The sequence below is a fragment of the Homo sapiens genome, chromosome 12, assembly GCF_000001405.40.
Source record: "Homo sapiens chromosome 12, GRCh38.p14 Primary Assembly".
Lineage (NCBI taxonomy): Eukaryota > Metazoa > Chordata > Mammalia > Primates > Hominidae > Homo > Homo sapiens.
Genome location: NC_000012.12, coordinates 55,973,466 through 55,996,729, shown reverse-complemented (window position 1 = coordinate 55,996,729; position 23,264 = coordinate 55,973,466). Strand labels below are relative to the sequence as shown.

At 46.1% G+C, this 23,264-nt stretch overlaps 1 protein-coding gene and 1 pseudogene across 5 annotated transcripts, besides 1 other annotated feature; one reads left to right on the top strand and one right to left on the bottom strand.

The window, feature by feature from the left end:
- On the bottom strand, window positions 47-22,781 carry RAB5B (RAB5B, member RAS oncogene family). 5 transcript variants are annotated; one of them, NM_001414458.1, is made up of 7 exons: window positions 22,391-22,652; window positions 17,256-17,358; window positions 9,607-9,861; window positions 6,632-6,783; window positions 5,926-6,048; window positions 5,277-5,370; window positions 47-4,633 (listed from the first exon to the last, which is right to left on the bottom strand). In NM_001414458.1, the coding sequence occupies exons 1-7, from the start codon at window positions 22,436-22,438 to the stop codon at window positions 4,518-4,520; spliced, it is 891 nt and encodes a 296-aa protein (NP_001401387.1). In that variant the 5' UTR covers window positions 22,439-22,652; the 3' UTR covers window positions 47-4,517. The 5 variants fall into 5 exon arrangements, with proteins under 5 accessions (NP_001401387.1, NP_001401386.1, NP_001238965.1 ...); NM_001414457.1 differs by having other exon boundaries at window positions 22,591-22,652; NM_001252036.2 differs by lacking the exons at window positions 17,256-17,358; window positions 22,391-22,652 and adding an exon at window positions 22,730-22,781.
- LOC100131294 (RAB13, member RAS oncogene family pseudogene) lies at window positions 15,663-16,756 on the top strand (annotated as a pseudogene).
- Window positions 22,759-22,908: an enhancer, noted in NCBI's record as "active region_6465". NCBI's record gives its function as "activates an Ori minimal core promoter by ATAC-STARR-seq in GM12878 lymphoblastoid cells {active_cell/tissue: GM12878}" and the evidence as "EXISTENCE:reporter gene assay evidence [ECO:0000049][PMID:35858748]".

The window sequence follows — 23,264 nt, the reverse complement described above, 5'->3', positions numbered from 1 at the left end:
TTGGGCTAGTCGAATTTCTCCCCAAACAAAAATGAAACAACAACACTGAATAGCCGTCTTTTATTTTGCGTAGAAAAAAAAAATAATAATCGCCCCTTGGTGGCACACGCCTGTAGTCCCAGTACTCGGGAGGCTGAGGCGGGAGGATCGCTTAAGCCCAGGAGTTCGAGGTTGCACTGAGCCAAGATCGCGGCACTGCACTCCAGCCTGGACAACAGAGCAAGACCCCATCTCTTAAAAAACAAACTGCCCCTTAACAAGAGCAATGGCAGCTTAACACCCCGAAGTATGAAGGTTGTAGTCTCTTATCTCAAAGTAAGGGGCATAAATATAATACATTTCCTATTACCCTTTTGTCATTTGATGCAGGACAAAATTTATCAAACCTAGTCCCCCAATCTGGACAAATGTATCCATACACTGCCCTCTAGAGGCCGGACGGTGGAGCTGCAATTTTAATCAGTTTAAGTGAAGGTGTTCACCTTTAATTTTGAAAGATCATTTCCTTTCCTTTCGGCTCTCCAACTAGAGCTTTTACCAGGAATCAGGGAACGGGGGTGGGGGGTATTACCAAGAGATATAAGGTAAGGGAACCGACAGTGAAAAGTTGGCAAGTTGGCTTTGGCTCTTAAGTGTTTGGAAATGGAAAGGATTTCAATCTGTATACAATCAAATCACTGAAGAAGGCTAATGCCCAACCTATCCTACCAGTTGTTAAAAAAAAAATATATATATATATATATATGTATATATATATGGAGAGAGAGAGAGTGAGAGAGAGAGAGAGAGGGAGAAAGAGGGAGAGAGAGAGAAAGCGAGCTTCAACCTAAAAAAAAAAAAGTCTCAGCCAAAGGAAGATACAGAGAAGTCAGTTAGGGACTATCTAAAAGCCTCCTTCCTAATAGTGTCATCTACTTTTGTGTGACACACATACTTTACATAATTGACCTTAATCTTCAGCTTTTACTTTACAGATGAAGAAACGAGGCGGAAGGCACTAACTAACTTGATCAAGGCCACAGCTGGTTAAGTTGACAGAGACAGGCCTAGAATGTCAGATTTGTCTGGCACCAGTCCTCTTTCCTATCCACCTTCAGATTCTTTGGAATTTAAAGCCTACTGCAACCACACATAATCCTATTTCATTTCCCTTCCCTCGACCTTTAGACTGTGGTGGACTGAAGGGTTTGAAGTACACTAGGAGTCAAGAGCAGATCCAGAGGAAATTTTCCCGTTGAGGTGGAAGCTACAAGAAAACTAACTCAGTGATGTTTTTCAACCTTTGGGTCATGGACCCCTTTGAGAAACATATAGAAATGGATCCTAGAAATATGCACATACGGCCGGGCGCAGTGGCTCACGCCCGTAATCCCAGCACTTTGGGAGGCCAAGGTGGGTGGATCACGAGGTCAGGAGTTCAAGACCAGCCTGACCAACATGGTGAAACCCCGTCTCTACTAAAAATACAAAAATTAGCTGGGTGTGTTGGTGCGTGCCTGTAATCCTAGCTACTCAGGAGGCTGAGGCAGGAGAATCACTTGAACTCAGGAGGCGGAGATTGCTGTGAGCCAAGATCGTGCCACTGTACTCCAGGCTAGCGACAGAGACTCCGTCTCAATTAAAAAAAAAAAAAGAAATATGCACATACATTTTTGTATACTACTTCAAATAGCACCCCTCTCTCTAATCTGATCAGTGGGCCCAAAGATCCACAGACCATACCCTACACATATACATTCTGTTAAGAGGGCCTAAAAAGATATAATAGGGTTTGATTTGATGAACAATCTAGTGGCCTTAGAAGAGGGGTGATTAAATAGCAATAGAAGGGCTATTTTCTAAACTAGATGTTTAAGAAAAGATTAAAGGGAATAAAGATGTATCAAGATGCAGGGAAAGGTGTGTTTCTGATTCAGTAGAACATTACTGGGTATCCTTTCTTCCAAATTCCTAGTACCTGACAAATAGCAAAAATAATAATAATAATAACAATAAAATAAAAAAAAGCAACACTCCAATGCCCTTTTCTTTTTTTCCTTTTTTTACTTACATTAAATACATCGGTAAATCAGCAGTCGCATTCTGTTACCACGATTGTTATGTTGGGAGAGGAAGAAAGGCAAATGCTTTCTCAGAAGCAAAACAAAAACAAAAAACCACAACACCCCCCCTTAAAAAAACTGACCAGAAGAAAAAAATGAGCTGGGAAATAAACAAAAGAAAACTAAGATCCCCAAGCCCAACAGAGCTCAAAGGAAGGCAGAAGAGGTGGTAGGAAGTAGAGGGAAGGCAGCCGATAGGCCCAGAAGCTAAGGCCAAATCCTGTTCCTATGGGGGTGGGGGGAGGGAGAAGCCTGGGGAAGTGGTTTCCCAGGCCCAAGATAATGAAACATCTTCACTCCTGCTCCAAGGGGGAAAGCTGCACAGAGAAAGAACTTCATTTCTAGAAGACTTTGGAAAGCCATCCTAGTTCTTCCACTTGTAAAAAGGATGCACTGGGTGCTATGGGGGGCCAGTGGCTTCTGGGAAAGGAAGGGGGAAATGTGTGTGTTTCAGGGCCATGGGAACTAAGGCTGCCCCTGGAAAAGGAAGGGAATTGAGGCCTAAGTGGAAGAACCTAAGCTGGGTCCTTCAGAATCTCAGCTTCATAGATTTCTCAGCTGTTCTGGGATAGAAGGCAGTCTGCAAGCCAAAAGGGCAGGAAGGTTCCAATCCTAGGTCACTGTGACCTTTCCTTTCTTTCTTTCCCAAAACTCCGGGCTGGAACAAGGAACTTAAAGTTCTCTTTTGCCTTGATGGCTTCTCAGAGACATCTTAAAACACCTGATGAAGGATATGAAGAGAGACTAGAGATTTAGAAAGGACCAAGGTCCTCTGATAATATGAGCCAGTTGTAAGGTACCTTCAGTGCCGGTCATTCCCTCTCCACAGGAACAGGTGGTATGATACGAGGGCACCACAGGAGGCCTCTGTGGTACTAGCCCCTATTGGTACATGGATTAAACCACTGGTTGCATGATGGGGAGGGATGGGGGGATTAAGGATGGAGGGACTAAATTCAAGATATTAACAAAGGAACAAAGAAACAGGGCCTGATGGGAGGCAGAGGATAGAACAGACTGTACAGTGGGAATAAAGATCATACCTATTTACAAGGAAGTAGAAAAGACATGGTAATGGATATCAAATTGAGTGTGAAACCTGGGAAAGGACAGAAAACTCCTCCCTTTTGCCTGACCTCCTTTTTACTCCCCTACCTTGGCCTGTGCTATCCTGAGACACTCCTCAATTGCTCAATTAATTCTCCAGGAAAGGCAAACCTATAGTCAATAGTTAGCTTGGCAAGAATATAGGTTAATAATTAGAGTTGGAGGAAGCTAACAGTGGAGATAGGACTTGAGTAGCTGCCACTGGTAGTTTTATCTATAACCTCTCCTCGAACCTCGCATTAACCTCAGATTTCATTGAATTAAAAAGAAGGTGGGAGGGCAAGTAAATCAATCAAAACTTCCATAAAACAAGTACCCCAACTGAACTACCATCAATTAAAGTGCAAACTGCAGGGGTATATGGTGGCTGGGGCTGAGGCCATCTAAAGGCCAGAGGGGAAAAAATGCATATGTATAAATCAGAGGATGGGTACCAGAAACTGTCCCTCCTCCAATCAGATCACAGCAGAGCCAAAGATGCAGGCAACCAGTGAAAATTCTTTGGAAGACTCTGGGGTCCAACCCCCACGATTAGGGGAAACGCTACCTAAGAGGCTGCGTGAGGGGAAACTGGGCCTTTGAAGAGTTACAGAGCCACAGTTGACACTGCACCTCCACCTCCGCCCAGTTAGCTTACAAGGCACCTCCTGCCTGGTGCCTGAGATCTTGCCTCCCCATTCTCACCTCTACCTAGGAACACCCTCCACAAGGCCAAATCATGGATACCGCAATGTTTTCAAATATGAGAAACTCCAACCAAATAAAAACAAAAAGGAAATGTTTCCTTACTCCCTCCTGCTCTGAGCTTTATTCTCCCCCAGGGCCCTTAATGTAAATGAACTGGAAACCTCCTTCCTCAGTTCCTGGGTTCACCACTTTCTGCATCCTGGGGAGAGGAGAAAAGAGGCTCAAGAACAGGGACTGACCAAAAGCAGAAGGGGAAGGGACAGGAGTCAGAAGTGTTTTCTGAAAAAATGGGGAGGAACACTAGGGAGGAGGAGAAAAGATACGTAAGTCGCTGTCTTGTACCTATAATACAAAGTGAAGAAAGTTTGTTTTGGAAGGTAAGTCCTGGGGGGAGTTGACCCCCAAGCCCCAGAGTAGGGGGTAGGAGGCCAGTGGCAACAGCTGCCTGGTGTTTGTTGCTGAAGCGTTAAAAAGTGCCATGACGGAGCTGTCAGGAGGCAGCCCTTGGGAGCCAGGGCTCAGTGTGCTGTTACCGTAGGGGTTGTGTGCTGAGGGGTAGGGATGGAGGTTATTTCTTAGCTCTTGTGCTAGCTCCATACTTGTTTGCTGCTAGCCACCCCCTCAGTTGCTACAACACTGGCTCTTGTTCTGCTGGGACTGTTCATGGAGATCCACACCCCGGCTTCGGCCTGCTGCACCTCCCAGATTCTGGGGTTCACTCTTTGGCAACTTCTTAGCTAGAGATAAAAAGAGAAGAGAACAAAGTATGGTAGACTTTACTTCCCTACCCCTCTGCCTCCACCCGCCAAAAACGGCTACTGAATTGGGGAAAAGGGAGAATTTGAGAGATTAAAAGAATGTTCTGAAGATGGGAGGGTTCACTATTTGCAAACTTTTTTTTTTTTTTTGAGATGGAGTCTCGCTCTGTTGCCAGGATGGAGTGCAGTGGCACAATCTCGGCTCACTGCAACCTCCACCTCCCGGGTTCAAGTGATTATCCTGGCTCAGCCTCCCAAGTAGCTGGGACTACAGGTGTGCGCCACCACGCCCAGCTAATTTTTGTATTTTTAGTAGAGACGGGGTTTCACCACATTGGCCAGGATGGTCTTGATCTCTTGACCTCGTGATCCGCCCGCCTCGGCCTCCCAAAATGCTGGGATTACAGGTGTTAGCCACCACACCTGGCCGGCAAACTTACACATTGAAGACAAGGGAGCTAAAGCTGCAGCCAAGGATGGAGGTCATAACAGAAAGTTAAGGTATTTCCATACCTAAAGTTTTTGCAAAAGGAGATACTCGCACCTATCCTTGATTTGGGTTAGCTATAATTTTGCCTATAAACGAGGGAAAAAGGAGGACCTCAGGATGTTCTGACCTTACCTATTGCCAGGAAGAGATCATTCACGTTCATAGCTGTCTTGGCTGAAGTCTCCATGAACAATAAGCTGTTGTCATCTGCATATGCCTGGGCCTCCTGCAAGGAGTGGGATGTATTAGTGCTCAGAATGTAGGGTGGGAACGAGTATTGCCTTTCCACTCCCATGCAGCACAACAGCTAGGCAAAATCCTAGGTTCCCTCCCCTTAATTAATACCCCTTTGAGCCAGCTAGCCTAGATGCATAATTTAATGACAACTCCCTCAAGATGACCCCATGTCCACTCAGTCCAACACACAAATGTCAGAAAGCTTAATTATAGGGGAGAGGGTAAGTTAGTTGGGGGCTTTTGGGTTGTGACACTTGAATAGTCCCTTACCACAAATTTAATTGCTCCCTCCTTCCTGTTTTCACACTGGTACCCCCACAGCTGGTACCTCCCTAACCCTCTGCTCTGGAGTTTTCTCCTGACTCCTTTGAAAATCTCCTGGCTGTCATTAGGGTCACAGTGTTGCTGTATTTAACTTGGTGTAGAACTGGGGAATGAGACAATGAATGTCCTCTGTTGACGTTTTCAGAGAGGGCTGGTTTGGAAAAAAAGAGGTCCCAGGAACAGAGGAAGTGTTAGAGAGGAACTCCACGGGCCACCTTACTTCATACTCCACCATACGTTTGTTGGCCAGGTCAGCTTTGTTCCCTGCCAGGGCAATAACGATGCTAGGACTGGCCTGTCGCTGTAGTTCCTTCACCCATGTCTTTGCTCGGGCAAAGGTTTCCTAGGAAAACATGAAGAGAATGAGTAGGCTGGAATGACTGCCAATCCATATCCATCACCTTTTAAAATGAGTCTCAAAATTCACCTCTTCTAGGTGGTCTTCCCTCAGTGAAACCACAGGTCTCTGATAATTCATTATCTGTCTTCTTAGCACTTGGAAGCATAATTTGTACTCTTATTTGCTATTTCAAGAACCCGTTTTCTGCCCCCTTACCCCCTGCCCCAAACTAACTCCTCTAAATATAAGCAAGGACAGTCTTTTTTCTTTTTTTTTTGAGGCGGAGTTTTGCTCTGTCGCCGAGGCTAGAGTGCAGTGGCTCGATCTCGGCTCACTGCAACCTCCGCCTCCTGGGTTCAAGCGATTCTCCTGCCTCAGCCTCCCGAGTAGCTGGGACTACAGGCGCGCACCACCACGCCCAACTAATTTTTGTAATTTTAGTAGAGACGGGGTTTCACCATGTTGGCCAGGATGGTCTCAATCTCTTGACCTCATGATCCTCCCGCCTTGGCATCCTAAAGTGTTGGGATTATAGGCGTAAGCCACCATGTCCAGCCAACAAGGACAGTCTTCTTAGCTCACTTACCTGATTAGTAATGTCGTAAACCACGATTGCAGCTTGGGCACCCCTGTAGTACATGGGGGCTAAGCTGTGATATCGCTCCTGCCCAGCTGTGTCCCAGATCTCAAACTTCACTGTTGTGTCATCTAGACAAACGGACTGGGTGAGGAAGGCCGCTATGGATGAGAGAATGGAGGGGAAGATGCTGTAAGTGGGAGGATGAATGGGAACATCCCTCCCCCCCTTCAAAATGTAACTGCCCTACACTAAGACCAGTCACCACCCAGGATAGTCAGCTACAGGAAAAGGTTTTGAGTTCTCCTTACATGTAAGTCTTGAAACCAGGATTAAGACTGCCCTTGGCTAAGTCCTTCCTGCCAGAAATGTCACTAGCTAAGGAATGGGGGTACATCATAAACTAAGAGGGACAGAAGAACTGGCACTTATACGAGTCATCCTTCTTCTAACCAAAATAGGAGAATAACAAATGACAGAGAAAATAGCTTCAGATAAAAGTCACATCAAGAATTAATTAGAAGATTGGGCTGGGCACGGTAGCTCACGCCTGTAATCCCAGCACTTTGGGAGGTGGGGGCTGAGGCAGGTGGATCACCTGAGGTCAGGAGTTCGAGACCAGTCTGGCCAACACGGCAAAACCCGTCTCTACTAAAAATACAAAAATTAGCCAGGCGTGGTGGTGGACACCTGTAATCACAGCTACTCGGGAGGCTGAGGCTGGAGAATCCCTTGAACTTGGGAGGTGGAGGTTGCAGTGAGCCAAGATGGCGCCACTGCACTTCAGCCTGGGCAACAAGAGCGGAACTCCGTCTCAAAAAACAAACAAACAAACGCAAACAAACAAAAGAATTAATTAGAGGATTGGCTGGGCGCAGTGGCTCATGCCTGTAATCCCAGCACTTTGGGAGGCCAAGGCAGGTGGATGGCTTGAGGTCAGGAGTTCGAGACCAGCCTGGCCAACATAGTGAAACCCCGCCTCTACTAAAAACACAAAAGTTAACCAGGCATGGTGATGGACGCCTGTAATTCCAGCTACTTGGGAGGCTGAGGCAGCAGAAGTGCTTGAACTGGGGAAGCGGAAGTTGCAATGGGCAACCACTGCACCACTGCACTCCAGCCTGGGCAACAGGGTGAGACTCAGTATCCAAAAAAAAAAAAAAAAAAAAAAAGAATTAATTAGAAGATTTTAAAGCTTGATGGCAAGTCCCATCATTATCAATATTATTTGGCTGTTACTTTTTCATATAATCTGCTGCAGGTCCAGGAATACATTTCCAAGATGACTAATAAAAAGGGGAAAGAGGCCAGGCACGGTGGCTCATGCTTGTAATCCCAGCACTTTGGGAGGCCGAGGCGGGTGGATCACTTGAAGTCAGGAGTTTGAGACCAGCCTGGCCAACACGGTGAAACCCTGTCTCTATACAAATACAAAAATTAGCCGGGCATGGTGGTATGTGCCTGTAATCTCCGCTGCTCAGGAGGCTGAGGCACGAGAATCACTTGAACCTGGGAGGCAGAAGTTGCAATGAGCCAAGATTGCACCACTGCACTCCAGTCTGGGCGACAGAGACTCCGTCTCAAAAATAAATAAATAAATAAATAAAAATAACAAGGGGAAGGAATAATTTGGAAGTTCTCATAAAAGATCCTTTATTGAATTAGCACCCTATTTTGGGGTAGTAGTGGGGAAAAGGTAGCAAAGATGAGAAAGACAGACACCCTTTGTATTTTGCATTAGTTCCAGCCTCTATTTTACCAGATTTTTTTTTGTTTTTGAAACAGTCTCGCTCCTTCGCCTAGGATAAAATGCACTGGCGTGATTTTGGCTCACTGCAACCTCCGCCTCATGAGTTCAAGCGAGTCTCCTGCCTCAGCTTCCCAAGTAGCTGGGATTACAGGCATGTGCCACCATGCCCGGCTAATCTTTGTTGTTGTTGTTGTTGTTTTGTTTTTTTGAGACGGATTTTCACTCTAGTCACCCAGGCTGGAGTGCAATGGCGCAATCTTGGCTCACTGCAACCTCCATCTCCTGGGTTCAAGTAGTTCTCCTACCTCAGCCTCCTGAGTAGCTGGAATTATAGGCATGTGCCACCACGCCCAGCTAATTTTTTGTATTTTTAGTAGAGACGGGGATTTCACCTTGTTGGCCAGGCTGGTCTTGAACTCCTGGCCTCAAGTGATCCGCCTGCCTTGGCCTCCCAAATGCTGGGATTACAGGTGTGACCCACCATGCCCAGCCTATTTTACCAGATTTTGATTTTTTTTTTTTTTTGGAGATGGAGTTTTGCTCTTGTCGCCCAGGGTGGAGTGCAGTGGCGCAATCTCGGCTCACTACAACCTCTGCCCCCTGGGTTCAAGTGATTCTCCTGCCTTAGCCTCCCGAGTAGCTGGGATTACAGGCGCCTGCCACCACGCCTGGCTAATTTTTTGTATTTTTAGTAGAGACAGGATTTCGCCATGTTGGGCAGGCTGGTCTCGAACTCCTGACCTCAGGTGATCCGCCCATCTTGGCCTCCCAAAGTGGTGGGCCACTGGGACCGGCCTCTGTTTTTATAAAGGGTTTCCATTTCTGGGGAAAAGAATGGGACTAAGAGGGCCAGCTCCATAATCAGGTCTTATATCTCTTTTCAAAAGCCTTACCGGCCCGGCGTGGTGACTCACGCCTGTAATCCCAGCACTTTGGGAGGCCGAGGCAGGCAGATCACCTGAGGTCAGGAGTTTGAGACCAACCTGGCCAACATGATGGTGAAACCCCCTCTCCACTAAAAATACAAAAATTAGACAGGTGCCACGGTGTGCACCTGTAATCCCAGTTACTCGGGAGGCTGAGGCATGAGAATCGCTCGAACCTGGGAGACAGAGGTTGCAGTAAGCCAAGATTGCGCCACTGCACTCCAGCCTGGGTAACAGAGCAAGACTCCATCTAAAAAAAAAAAAACCCTTACCAAACATTCAATCTCCTATTACCCCAAGGCACTCACCTCCAATGGTGCTCTCCTGGTACTCATGGAACTGCCCTTTGACAAAACGTAATACCAGGCTTGACTTTCCCACTGCAGATTCTCCCAGCAGGACCAATTTGAACTGGCAAATTTTGCTGGCCTGGGGTTGCCCATTGGGCCTAGCTGTGCTTCTGCTAGTCATGGCCAGATTATCAGAATGGGAAAGGGTGGAGGGAGGGGGATACTGTAAAGGGGGGAGGGGGAAGGGGAGGGGATTTCCAGGCTTCAACACTCCTGCAAGAAAAAAAAGTGAATAAAATTAAACATACGTCCATTGAAGCTGCAATCGCTTTTCAGAGAAGGATAGAACCTCTTCATCTCCTTGCTTCTATGAGGACTTAGCTCTGAGAAGGTCCCAGGCAGCTGATCCTCAGTGGTAAGAGTTGGGAAGAGCAAAATAAGAACTGCTTCTGGAGTCTGCCCTACCACATAATCTCTAACTGCCAAGGGAGCCGAAATAGAGAGACTGAAAACTGAGAGTTTTTAATTCCCCAGTAATTCCCCACCAGGTCTTCAAAGTTTTTTGTTTGAGTCACACAAAGTGATCAACCTTTAGCTGGCCTGAAGAATATCCAGATCCACCCACCGGTACCCTAGATCCCCAGTATCTCCTTGGCATCCTGGTGCTGTGCTCTTCTTTTCCTTTTCTTCTTTTTTTTTGAGACGTCACTCTTGTTGCCCAGGCTGGAGTGCAATGGCACAATCTTGGCTCACCACAACCTCTGCCTCCCGGGTTCAAGCAATTCTCCCACCTCAGTCTCCCGAGTAGCTGGGATTACAGGCATGCACCACCACGCCTGGCTAATTTTGTATTTTTAGTAGAGACGGAGTTTCTCCATGTTGGTCAGACTAGTCTAAGAAGTCCTGACCTCAGGTGATCTGCCCGCCTTGGCCTTCCAAAGTGCTGATATTACAGGCATGAGCCACCGTGCCTGGCCTTCTTTTCATTTTTCCTTAGCTCTTTGTCAAAATGAGAGATTCACTCTAGGGGTGTGGGATAAGAGTCACCACTCCTAAGGGCAGAAGGGTAGTTGCTGCTGTATCCTTTATATATGACCGGTCTCCCTGATAAGACATTTCTAAAGATCTAACCAGGGTCCCATTGCCACAAAATCTATCCTTTCTCATTTTTGGTTGAAGGTAAAGAGAGAAATACAACCAACAGATCACATTCATTATCAACTCTTTGTTTCATTAACAACTCTTTTTTCACTTTGTTTCTGCCATCTTTCCAAATCTGAAAGTCTATCAAGAATCAGTAAGCTTGACCTACTCTCAACTTGCAGCTGTCTTGCTGGTGCCTAGGGATTAGATTACCCTCCACACCAAAGGGGCCTAACAGCTGTAGCCCTCCAAATTAGAGGCAGAGAAAGGTATACCTTCTAAAGACATGCAGAAGTCTCCAGAGGATGGTATAGGGCGTTAAGTCTGCAAGCAATCAGTATTTGATGAAAGAATACACTGAATCAGCTCCTCTATCTTCTAAGAGGGCTAAGAAAGCTGCTGGTGGGGCAGGGAACAGAGAGAAGAGTTGGGACTTTGAGATTCTAATCGTCTAAATCTGAATACATTTCATCATCCTGACTCTGAGCGGAAAGGAACTATGAAATTCAAAGGGAAGTTAGCATAGGCAGAGCATGCAAAAACCTCTCTCCCAAACCTAAGCATTGCTTGAGAGTTGTACTTTGCTTGTTCAAATTACTCTTTCGCTTTTCCAAAGCAGATCCTAGTGACTTCACAGACATCATACTCTATGGCATATGTGGGGAAACATCATTATTTTGTCACCACAATTAGTGGGACTGGAGTTAAACTGGGGTTAAAAATTTTCAGTAACCCCACTTACTAGATCGTAAAGACAGAAAATCATACAGGAGGCAATTCAGAGGAATAAAGGCTCTGGAGTCCAATTCTCCACGTTTGTTTTTCAGCTCTACTTACTAGCTATGAACCTTGAGCAAGTCACTAAATATATGTGTGCATTCATTTCCTCATCTGTAAAATGAGATAATAGCCTTATAAGCACCTACTTCATAAGGGTGTTGTAAGGATTAAATGAGATAATGCATATAAATAACTAAAGTATTTTAAGTATTTGATAGATACTAAGTGCTAAATAAATATTAAGCTACTAATCATTACTAATATGATATAAAGAGAATTTCTCTACCTCTCTAAGCCTTACCTTCTACCTTTGTAAAATGGAAAAAATACCATCCTCATAGCTACAAATAATAAGTGAAAGATGTGTTTAGCATAGTGCTAATAGCTATTAAAATATATCTCAATATTAGTTGTTATCAATATATTCCTAAAAAGCAGCCACAGCCTGGGTGCAGTAGCTCATACCTATAATCCCAGCACTTTGGGAGGCTGAGGTGGATCACCTGAGGTCAGAAGTTCGAGCCCTGCCTGGCCAACATGGTGAAACCCCGTCTCCACTAAAAATACAAAAAAAATTAGCTGGGTGTGGTGGTGCATACCTGTAATCCCAGCTACTCCAGAGGCTGAGGCAGGAGAATCGCTTAAACCCAGAAGGTAGAGGGTGCACTGAGCTGATGCGCCACTGTGCTCCAGCCTGGGTGACAGAGCGAGACTCCGTCTCAAAAAATAAAAGGCGGGCACAGTGGCTCACGCCTGTAATCCCAGCACTTTGGGAGGCAAAGGCAGGCAGATCAGGAGGTCAGGAGTTTGAGACAAGCCTGGCAAACATGGTGAAACCCCGTCTCTACTAAAAATACAAAAATTAGCTGGGCGTGGTGGCGCGTGCCTGTAGTCCCAGCTACTTGGGAGGTTGAGGCAGGTGAACTGCTTGAACTTGTGAGGTGGAGGTTGCAGTGAGCTGAGATTGCACCACTGTACTCCAGCCTGGCGACAGAGCAACAGCGAGACTCAGTCTAAAAAAAAAAAAAAAAAATTAGCCGGGTGTGGTTGGTGGCCGGCATTTGTAATCCTACTCGGGAGGCTGAGGCAGAACTGCTTAAACCCGGGAGGCGGAGGTTGCAGTGAGCCGAGATCGTGCCACCACACTCCAGCCTGGGTAACAGAGCAAGACTCCACCTGGGGTGGGTAGGGGGGAGATCGGGGGCAGGGAAGAAGCCACAATATGAAAGTGGTACAGAGAAAGAAAAAGAGAAAAAACAGGCCTGGCAGAGCGGCCCATGCCTGTAATCCCAGGGGTTTGGGAGATAAAAGGGGAAGCCTTGCTTGAGGTGAGGAGTTTGAGACCAGCCTAGGCAACATAGCGAGACTGAGTCTCTAGAAAACATTTAAAAAAATTAGCTGGGCATGGTGGTATGTGCCTGTAATCCCAGCTACTCCAGAGGCTGTGGTGGGAGAATCACTGGAGCCCAGGAGTTGAAGGTTGTAGTGAGCTGATTACACCACTGCACTCCAGCCTGGGCGACAGAACAAGACGCTATCTCTGGAAAAAAAAAAAAAAAAAAAAGGAGACATAACTAAAGGGTAAAGAGGAAGTTAGCAAAAGAATGAGAGGTGAGAACTCAAGGTCCCAAAGTAGACTAGATTAATACAGAGGAACATGACAATTACTTTGATTCTACTGGGTATTCTGTAGTCCCCTTGGTCAGTCAGTCTTAAAAATTCAGATATACATGTACCATTTTATGATTAAGTTTTCAATGGCCTATGACGAAAGGATCAAAATAAAGATGATACAGCAAATTTTTCATAAAGCTAAATTTATTCAATTTAAATGAGTATCTTTAATTATAACATTTTAAAATTTATTTTCCATTTTTAGAGAGAGTCTCACTCTGGTGTTTGAGAGGTCAGGAGTTTGAGACCAGCCTGGCCAACATATAGTGAAACCCCGTCTCTACTAAAAAATACAAAAATTAGCTGGGTGTAGCGCCACATGCCTGTAGTCCCAGCTACTTGGGAAGCTGAGGCAGGAGAATCGCTTGAACCCAGAGGGCGGAGGTTGCAGTGAGCTGAGATTATGCCACTGTACTCCAGCCTGGGCAACAGAGCAAGACTCCGTCTCTCAAAATAAAAAATAAATAAAAGAGAAGACAGGTGACACCATAATAAAAAAAAAAGGACAGATGATAAGCTGATCAAGTTTCCTTCAGGTGACATATATATGCTATACTCTCAAGAAACAATAGAAAAAGTTACTGGTTTTTTCAACTTACTCCCTTACATTTTTATGTATTTCAAAGCATGTGATCCAAGGGGTAGAATATTAAGCCTCAATGTTACTACTCTACAATAAAGGAAAATGTGGGAGTTAGAATGGACTGAATTCTCATGGCTAAACATATCACTTGAGCTCTGGGGGAGTGTAAAGACAGGAAACAATTGCAGACACGCTTGAGTTGCAAAGTCTCTGTCACTAACTCTCAGAGATGGGAAGTCAAGCCAGAGCCCAGATGTGGTCAGCAAGCTTTCTTGCTACTAAGCAACCTTGGATTCTCAGAGATCAGTAACTACTGACTTAGAAAAGACTACCTCGTACCCTAATATGTAGCCTTAAGAGTATGTTCTGGCTGCACATCATGGTTCACGCCTGTAATACCAGCATTTTGGGAGGCCAAGGCAGGAGGATCACTTGAGCCCAGGAGTTTGAGACCAGCCTGGGCAACATAGTGAGATCCCACCTCTGAAAAAGAAAGAATATGTCCTGCCTTCCTCCCTGTTCACAGCAATTGTTGAGCCACCTCTAAGCTTTGATCTTTAATCTTATCATGTTTATAAGGGTATCATTTAAAAAATATAATAGCTAGACTCTCAAAAATTCTGTGGTACAGAAATGAAATAATACATATAAGATTCAATTATTTATTTTCTATTCTCATTTTTTCCCACAAAAATACTAATTTTTTTTTTTTTTTTTGGTAAACCAGTCAAGTGGTATGATGATTATTACCTTCAAACCCGAGACAAAAAAAAGGGAGATGGGGCAGGTTTCTCTTCCTTTCAACCTTTTTAGCTCAGAAGAGAAGAAATCAGATTTAACTTCCCTTAGAAGTGCAGCTCTGCCGGGTGCAGTGACTCATGCCTGAAATCCCAGCACTTTGGGAGGCTGAGGTGGGCGGATCACCTAAGGTCAGGAATTCAACACCAGTCTGGCGAACATGGTGAAACCCCGTCTCTATTAAAAACACAAAAATTAGCCAGGTGTGGTGGCTGACACCTGTAATCTCAGCTACTTGGGAGGCTGAAGCAGGAGAATTGCTTGAACCTGGGAGGCAGAGGCTGCAGTGGGTCGAGACTTTGCCACTGCACTCCAGCCTGGGTGACAGAGCAAGACTCCATCAAAAAAAAAAAAAAAGAAGTACGGCTCTACAAGAATGACTTATAAAATGACCCATTAACTAGGGAGGATTGAGGCCTGACCATGGGTTAGCCCACTAGATGCAGGAGACCCATGGAGGATGTTCTTTAATGTGGGCAACTCTCCCAAGCAGTGCAGCAAAGTAGGCATAACAGTAAAAGTGTCTTAGCAGTCCCAGCTAGAGTAAGACTCCATTCCTCAAGCCCCCTTCCACTTGTTAGCTTTGAGTCCCTAAACCAAATACATATGAAGTCTCCAGAAGTCTATCACCTATCAACAGAGACAGAGTTCTCGGTATATATAGCCACTGGAGTCCAACCCAGTACCAGTTGTCAGCCTTAAGGTCAGTCAGGCAGATCAGAGCCAGTCTAGAGGTCATTTAGTCCAGTCTCTATATTTTATAGGTGAGGAAACCGAGACACATACAATTAGTCAATTTGGGCTAGGCGTGGTGGCTTACACCTGTAATCCTAGCACTTTGGGAGGGCGAGATGGGCAGATCACCTGAGGTCAGGAGTTTGAGACCAGCCTGGCCAACGTGGTGAAAACCTGTCTCTACTAAAAATACAAAAATTAGCTGGGTGTGGTGGTGCGTGCCTGTAATCCCAGCTACTCAGGAGGCTGAGGCACGAGAATTGCTTGAACCTGGGAGGCAGAGGTAGCAGTGAGCCGAGATCACACGACTGCACTCCAGCCTGGACAACAGAGCGATTCCGTCTCAAAAATAAATAAATAGCCCCATCCCTTCCCCGGCTCCCCCGGTGTCCGCCATGGCCAAAGCCTACGACCACCTCTTCAAGTTGCTGCTGATCGGGGACTCGGGGGTGGGCAAGACTTGTCTGATCATTCGCTTTGCAGAGGACAACTTCAACAACACTTACATCTCCACCATCGGAATTGATTTCAAGATCCGCACTGTGGATATAGAGGGGAAGAAGATCAAACTACAAGTCTGGGACACAGCTGGCCAAGAGCGGTTCAAGACAATAACTACTGCCTACTACCGTGGAGCCATGGGCATTATCCTAGCATACGACATCACGGATGAGAAATCTTTCGAGAATATTCAGAACTGGATGAAAAGCATCATGGAGAATGCCTCAGCTGGGGTGGAGCACCTCTTGCTAGGGAACAAATGTGACATGGAGGCCAAGAGGAAGGTGCAGAAGGAGCAGGCCGATAAGTTGGCTCGAGAGCATGGAATCCGATTTTTCGAAACTAGTGCTAAATCCAGTATGAATGTGGATGAGGCTTTTAGTTCCCTGGCCCGGGACATCTTGCTCAAGTCAGGAGGCCGGAGATCAGGAAACGGCAACAAGCCTCCCAGTACTGACCTGAAAACTTGTGACATAAAGAACACCAACAAGTGCTCCCTGAGCTGAGGACCCTTTCTTGCCTCCCCACCCCGGAAGCTGAACCTGAGGGAGACAACAGCAGAGGGAGTGAGCAGGGGAGAAATAGCAGAGGGGCTTGGAGGGACACATAGGTAGATGGTAAAGAGAATGAGGAGAAAAAGGAGAAAAGGGAAAAGCAGAAAGGAAAAGAAGGAAAAGAGAGGAAGGGAGAAGGGAGAGGAATGAATTGAGGAAGTGAACGAAGGCAAGGAGGTAGGAAGAGAGGGAGGAGGAAAGGAAGGAGAGATGCCTCAGGCTTCAGACCTTACCTGGGTTTTCAGGGCAAACATAAATGTAAATACACTGATTTATTCTGTTACTAGATCAGGTTTTAGGGTCCTGCAAAGGGCTAGCTCGGCACTACACTAGGGAATTTGCTCCTGTTCTGTCACTTGTCATGGTCTTTCTTGGTATTAAAGGCCACCATTTGCACAAAAAATAAATAAATAAATAAAAAATAAAATAAAATTAGTCAACTTGTCAAGTGTTACCATACAGCCAACTGCTAAGCAGTAAATGTAGGACTCCTAGTCAGGTACTCCTGCCTCTTATACCACTATACTTCTTAAGGAAGCAGGAAATGCTGAACTCTAAAGAGAACACCAGGACAGGATCGAGAGCTTAGACTGGATAGAGTTCCTGCCTCTATTCAGTTTAGGTAAGTACTTGCTTTGGGACTAAAAACAAATTAAGAAGACCCAGGCCTTCCTTGGCAACTGGGATGCAGTCCCATATCTTTCTGACAGAAGAATTAATTCATCACTACTCTTTTCTAGAAGGTCTATGACCAAACCCTGCCAGGACAGTTGAAATAGAAGCAATTCAATGAGAGGCAATAGGAAAACAAGCGGTAACTTTTGCAGAATTTGGTGGGCCCTGCGATTAATGTGAGAGTTTTACTAAGTAGGGAAGATAGAGCAGAAACCAGTAAATACCTTCATCTCCCTCTCCAACTCTGTTTAAACCCAAGTCACCAAAATCTTGAAATGAGAGTTCTACCACTTGGCTCAGCTCTTCATTTTGTTGATCCAGTGTTACCTAATGAGTCATTGGATTAAATGAGATTCCTTCCACATCTCGCACCCTTTCCCTTATATTTCTCCAAGAGGCAAAAAGCATACTTACCTCTTATCAGTATGGTAGTACAAACTCCCTATTATTGACCTAGGTAAGATTGGAATGCCCGTCCCTACTTGTCTGCCTAGCAAAATTCTATATATCTCATAAGACCAAGCTCAAATGTTACTTCAGTGAAATTACATAATCACCCTCTCCCCCACAGAATTAATCATTCTCTAGAGGCCCGTAGGGTCCCACAGTATTAAGACTGTATTTCTGGCCAGGTGTGGTGGCGCACACCTGTAATCCCAGCACTTTGAGAGGCCAAGGCAGATGGATCACTGGAGGTTAGGAGTTCGAGACCAGCCTGGCCAATATGGTGAAACCCCGTCTCTACTAAAAATACAAAAATTAGCTGGGCATGTTGGCACAGGCTTGTAATCCCAGTTACCCAGGAGGCTGAGACATGAGAATTGCTTGAGCCCGGGAGGCGGAGGTTGCAGTGAGCACAGATTGCACCACTGTACTCCAGCCTGGACAGCAAAGCAAGAATCCGTCTCAAAAAAAAAAAAAAAAGACTGTATTTCTATAATAGTATGTATCACATTATCACAGTATATAAATTGTGTCTGTCTGCTCTGCTAAACTATGAACTTCTTTAAAAGTGGGAGTTTATCTTAAAATCTTCAGAGCACAGCATGCTGCCTGATCCCTAGTAGGTGCTCATTAAATGCTCCCTAAATTAAGGCTAAGTAATTCTACTTCTCTCCCCCAATCAACTCCTCCCTTTCTGTACCATCTGGACAGATCTTACTCAATTCCATTTGGGTTCTTTTTTTTTTTTCCTGAGACGGAGTCTTGCTCAGTCGCCCAGGCTGGAGTGCAGTGACGCGATCTCGGCTCACTGCAAGCTCTGCCTCCCAGGTTCACGCCATTCTCCTGCTTCAGCCTCCCGAGAAGCTGGGGGACTACAGGCGCCCACCACCACGCCCAGCTAATTTTTTGTATTTTGTTTAGTAGAGACGGGGTTTCACCGTGTTAGCCAGGATGGTCTCAATCTCCTGACCTCGTGATCCACCCGCCTCAGCCTCCCAAAGTGCTGGGATTACAGGCGCATGCCACCGCACACGGCCCCATTTGGGAATATTTTTAATAGGCCTCAGAATCAATTCTCTCCCTGGCTCCTCTGTGATCTCCCTTGGATGGAGGGCCCCCTTGGGATCTTGCCCACAAGGTACTATTGCAACTCGCATGGGCTAACTGCTTTTCCTGTCACCCGTTACTATGCCTCAGATGGCCTAATCACACCCAATATGTGGCCCTCCCACCCAAACACTGAGGCAACTATAGCTAAAAACAAAGTTCGCTGAATTTTCAGTTGATGTTGAACGGTCAAAAGCTTTGGGCCACTATCTATTAATTCCTGACTTGAGAAACACAAGTTTAAAAAAAGGAGCCATAACACCACAGAACCAGGAGACACTCTGAAAAGGTACCCACTGTCCCTGAACAGAAGCTACAACCTTGCCCAGAAATGTACACATACTTTGTTCACCTGGGTAGCTCCTTATTCAGTTCAGTTACTGTTGAGTCAATGGCTAAATCTTTCCCAAAACGGAAGTGGGAGTATACCATGTAGGGTTTTATGGTATCCTTCCTCCAAGAGGGCTGCTGCATTTCCTTATTATAAGTTCATTGTCTCACACTTTGGTTACCTTCCAATCTGAAATGCTTTAGGATTAGGGAGCAAACTATACGCTTGCTTCTTCTACCCTATGCCTCCTTCTCAGAAGTAAAATTCATACCAATAAGCAATATTTGCTCCCAGGTAAAGTAAGAGTTAGAAGATATGAGGTATGTTATGCAGTAGGGATTGTCCAGGAAAAAAATTTTAAAAGATATGAGGTATGACTTGAAGGGCAATGGGAAAGCTCTCTTCTCCAAATATATTTTTGCAACTCCAGGTCTATGTATGAAATTCCTTATTGATAATTCTACTCCTAAACTCTCTTAGGATGCAAAAAACTGTTGGAAAAATTAGATAGGATTAAAACACACACACACACACGCACACACGGCCAGGCGCGGTGGCTCACTCCTGTAATCCCAGTGCTTTGGGAGGCTGAGGCACGTGGATCACCTGAGGTCAGGAGTTAGAGTCCAGCCTGGCCAACATGGTCAAATCCCGTCTCTACTAATAATACAAAAATTAGCTGGTCGTGGTGGTGCACGCCTGTAATCCCAGCTACTCTGGAGGCTGAGGCAGGAGAATCGCGTGAACCTAGGAGGCAGACGTTGCAGTGAGCCGAGATCATGCCACTGCACTCCAGCCTGGGTGACAAAAGTGAAACTCCGTCTAAAAACACACACACATACTCCTACACAACTGTCTCTAGGACTGGCTTGCAGGTGAGAAAAGTTCCTTGGGGGAAAAAACCGAGGTTTCCAATGGGCGCTGTACAAAGGCTGGGTACAACAGAGGGCTTTTAAAGCTAGTAAGGACAAATTCAATTAATAAGGTGGTAGTATGAAATGCCCCAGCTGTACTCTGACTCTGAGATTTAGAGGAAAACCGATTTCAAATCCAGATAAGCTTGGAGCTTCTCAGATCCCTACAGAAAGACACACACTGTACTCCAGCCTAAGTGACAAAGCAAGACCCTGTCTCTAAAAATAGAAGAAAAGAAAAGAAAGACAAATACAGGGGCCTCTTAGGAGAACCATCATCATCATGGATAAGAAAGGGATAGTCAAGTAATGTGAACATGCAGAGACCATGAACATCCAGAGACCATGAATTTGAGATAAGGGTCTGAAATTCCTTTCTTTAGCAGAGATGCCAACAATTATCCCAACCAAAATGATCCTTTCTCCCCATAAAGTTTTGTTCCATCTCTTTGGGCACTTCCTAGGACACCCAGCACACAACTTGGGGTGTGTGTGTTTGTGTGTACTCAAGGTGAATAACACACAGTACAGCCCTCTGCTTGTCGGACTTGGTAGAAGACAAAATGAACTGTGAAAGGAACACAATAAATAACAGAGTATCATCCCAGAAGGGAAAACTGTAGAAAGAATAAGACTAGAGTTTGATGAGAACATGAAAACACAATTGCCTTTTGTGACACATCCCCCAAAGCAAAGCAAGATTAGTCTGATTTGCTGTCTCTGATCCTTGACCTTCCTAAATGAAATATGAATAAGGTATGTGTGGGAGGATTTATACTTCTTAAACTGCTGTACACCTTCCATATTTTAAAATATGTACATATTAACTTTTGTAATTAAGAAATGTAGTGATGGCCGGGTGTGGTGGCTCACGCCTGTAATCCCAGCACTTTGGGAGGCCGAGGTGGGCGGATCATGAGGTCAAGAGATTGAGACCATCCTGGCCAACATGGTAAAACCCTGTCTCTACTAAAAATACAAAAATTAGCTGGGCGTGGTGGCGCACGCCTGTAGTCCCAGCTACTTGGGAGGCTGAGGCAGGAGAATCTCTTGAACCTGGGAGGTGGAGGTTGCAGTGAGACTCCGTCTCAAAAAAAAAAAAAAAAAAAAAAGAAATGTAGTGATAAAATATATTGGTAGAGACGCAGAAAAGGAGGAAGTACAGTAAGGGAAAATCCAATAGGCTCCAATCTATGAGGGACTAAGAAGGCTAGCAGACCATTAAAAATATGTGGGGAGGAGGGTACTCCACTCCTCTGCTTTGGCAATCTTTGTCTTTTTTTTTTTTGGAGACAGGGTCTCATTCTGTTGCCCAGGCTGGAGTGCAGTGGGAAGATCATGGCTCACTGCACCCTCGAACTCCCGGGCTCAAGTGATCCTCCTGTCTCAGCCTCCCAAAGTGCTGGGATTACAGGCGTGGGCTACTGCACCTCTGTATCTTTTTCTCTACTCACCATCTTCCCCAGATACTTCATAGTTTGACCCAACTTTCTAACAGCACAGAAATCTGGGCTTTTGAAGTAGACAAAGAACAAGGGGTGATGCCAAGCTTTTGAAATGGAATTTCTCACTCTTCCCCAAATCTCTTCCTCAGTGATATCACCGCATAGTTTCGGACCTGTTAACTCCATTACCTGCCTGGGAAATACCCAAGTCAAGTCTAAGTCCCACAAAAGTTTCACCAACTATGATCAGAAGATCTCCTGATGGCTGAGGATCTCTAAGCCCCTTTCCCATGTAGATAATGAAATAGATATGAAATAGATTCTCAGTTCTAGGAGACATGGTATTTGCTATAGACCACATTATTAAGTGGGAAAGAAGTGGACAAAACATGCCCCCAATCCAACTTCTTAGCTCTTTCATAGGACATGAAACAGTAAGTTAAGAAACAGACTGCAGTATAGACCAGCTATGAGGCCAACAGAAAGTGTAGGGGCTGAGTTTGGAGCAGCCAACAGTCATGGAAAAAAAAAAATTACTTTGATCTTCATCCCTACCCTGGGAGTTTTAAAAAGCTTCAAATTACCACATCTAAACACTAAAGGGAACAAAAGAGTGTGTACTCCCAAGACCCAGAGCCCCCAGCCCACCCTTCAGCATTCCCAGAAGTTCCCATAACTGATACCAGGCCCTGCTTCCATTACTTCAACTACCTTAGTCTTCTAGATTAATACAGCCTTCTTCATTTTCCCCAGTTCTCCCTCACTGAACCCAAATCTCTCTCAGCTCAACACCATAGCACCCTCAGTTCTTTTTACAATAGGCACTTTCCCTGAAAAGAACGCTTCTTACCCAACTAAGAACCCTTCTCAGGCCCTTCCAATGAACCTCTCTGCAGGGACCCAGCCCCAGTCACCCCCGGGGCTCGGGCGACAGGTCTGACCCTCCTCACCTCCCGGCAAATGGGCTTACCTCACCCGCTGCCCTGTTCCTTTCCCCAGCTCCTCCCTCTTCAGCGCTGCTTAATGAGGCCTGCCCCTGCCCTCACTCAAGCTCCAGGCCTCCAGCCCCCGGCCCTCGGCCTGGCCGCCGCCACAGCCCAGCCGCCTTCCCGACTCACCAACTTCGGGGTCCCAGGCCGCCCAGTCCCCTCCTCAGCGACCCCCATTAGGCCTGCCGGGGCCCGGCCCCCTTCTCCCCTCTCCGGTGGGCCACTCTAACCCCTCGCTTAGGACCAGACCCGCCTCCGCTCTCAGGCCAGGCTGCTCTCATCTCCCGGGCGCTTCCGCCCCTGCCCTTTGGGCTCCATCAGCTCGGTACCTGGGGCTCCGTCTCCCCCGTCGGCCCCAAGCCTGTGTCGAACAGACAAACAGCTGCAGCTCAACCAAACCCTCCTGCCCCTCCTTCTCCTCCTCGCCCTGGGGCGGGGCTCCAGCCAATAGCTCGATTACCCGCCTACCTTCGAGGGTGGGCTATATGTGCACTCATCCACCAATCCTCTGGAGAAAGGCGAGTCTCTTTGGGCGCTGTCACCAACAAGTACGAGCAAGGGACGCGACAGGCGGGGCCACAAGCCAATAGCGAGGGAGAAACCTCGAAGATGGACGAGGTAAGGAGCCATTAAAGAGCAAGCTCCTGAAGACAGGGGGCGGTACACTGCCGACAGGCGTATGTATCCACCAATAAAATCTCGACACCCCATGACCCCGCCTTTTGACTCATAAACATCTAATCAGGTGAGTGATGGAGGCGGGTCAAAGTGAAACTTTAACCAGTACTGCGAAAATACGGTACTTGACTGGCAGGCAAGGAGGGGTTGAAGGAAGCCTTAGGAAGGCCGCTACTGACCTTCGCCCCTCCCCCTGGACTTGGCTGGGGCTGGCTCTAGTGCCCTGCCTTCTATGACAAATTCGCGGGCGTAAAGGGAAATACCTCTTCTAGGGATCCGGAGCCTGGGAATTTAAGTAACCCTGACATCAGCGCTTCCTCCTTTT

Coding starts and splice junctions, on each gene's coding strand:
- RAB5B (NM_001414458.1), bottom strand. CDS start 22,438: ATGGGGGTCGCTGAGGAGGGGACTGGGCGGCCTGGGACCCCGAAGTTG. Junction 17,359..22,390: donor GGCCTGGGACCCCGAAGTTG/GTGAGTCGGGAA, acceptor ATGACTCATTAG/GTAACACTGGATCAACAAAA. Junction 9,862..17,255: donor AGTTGGAGAGGGAGATGAAG/GTATTTACTGGT, acceptor TTTTTCTTGCAG/GAGTGTTGAAGCCTGGAAAT.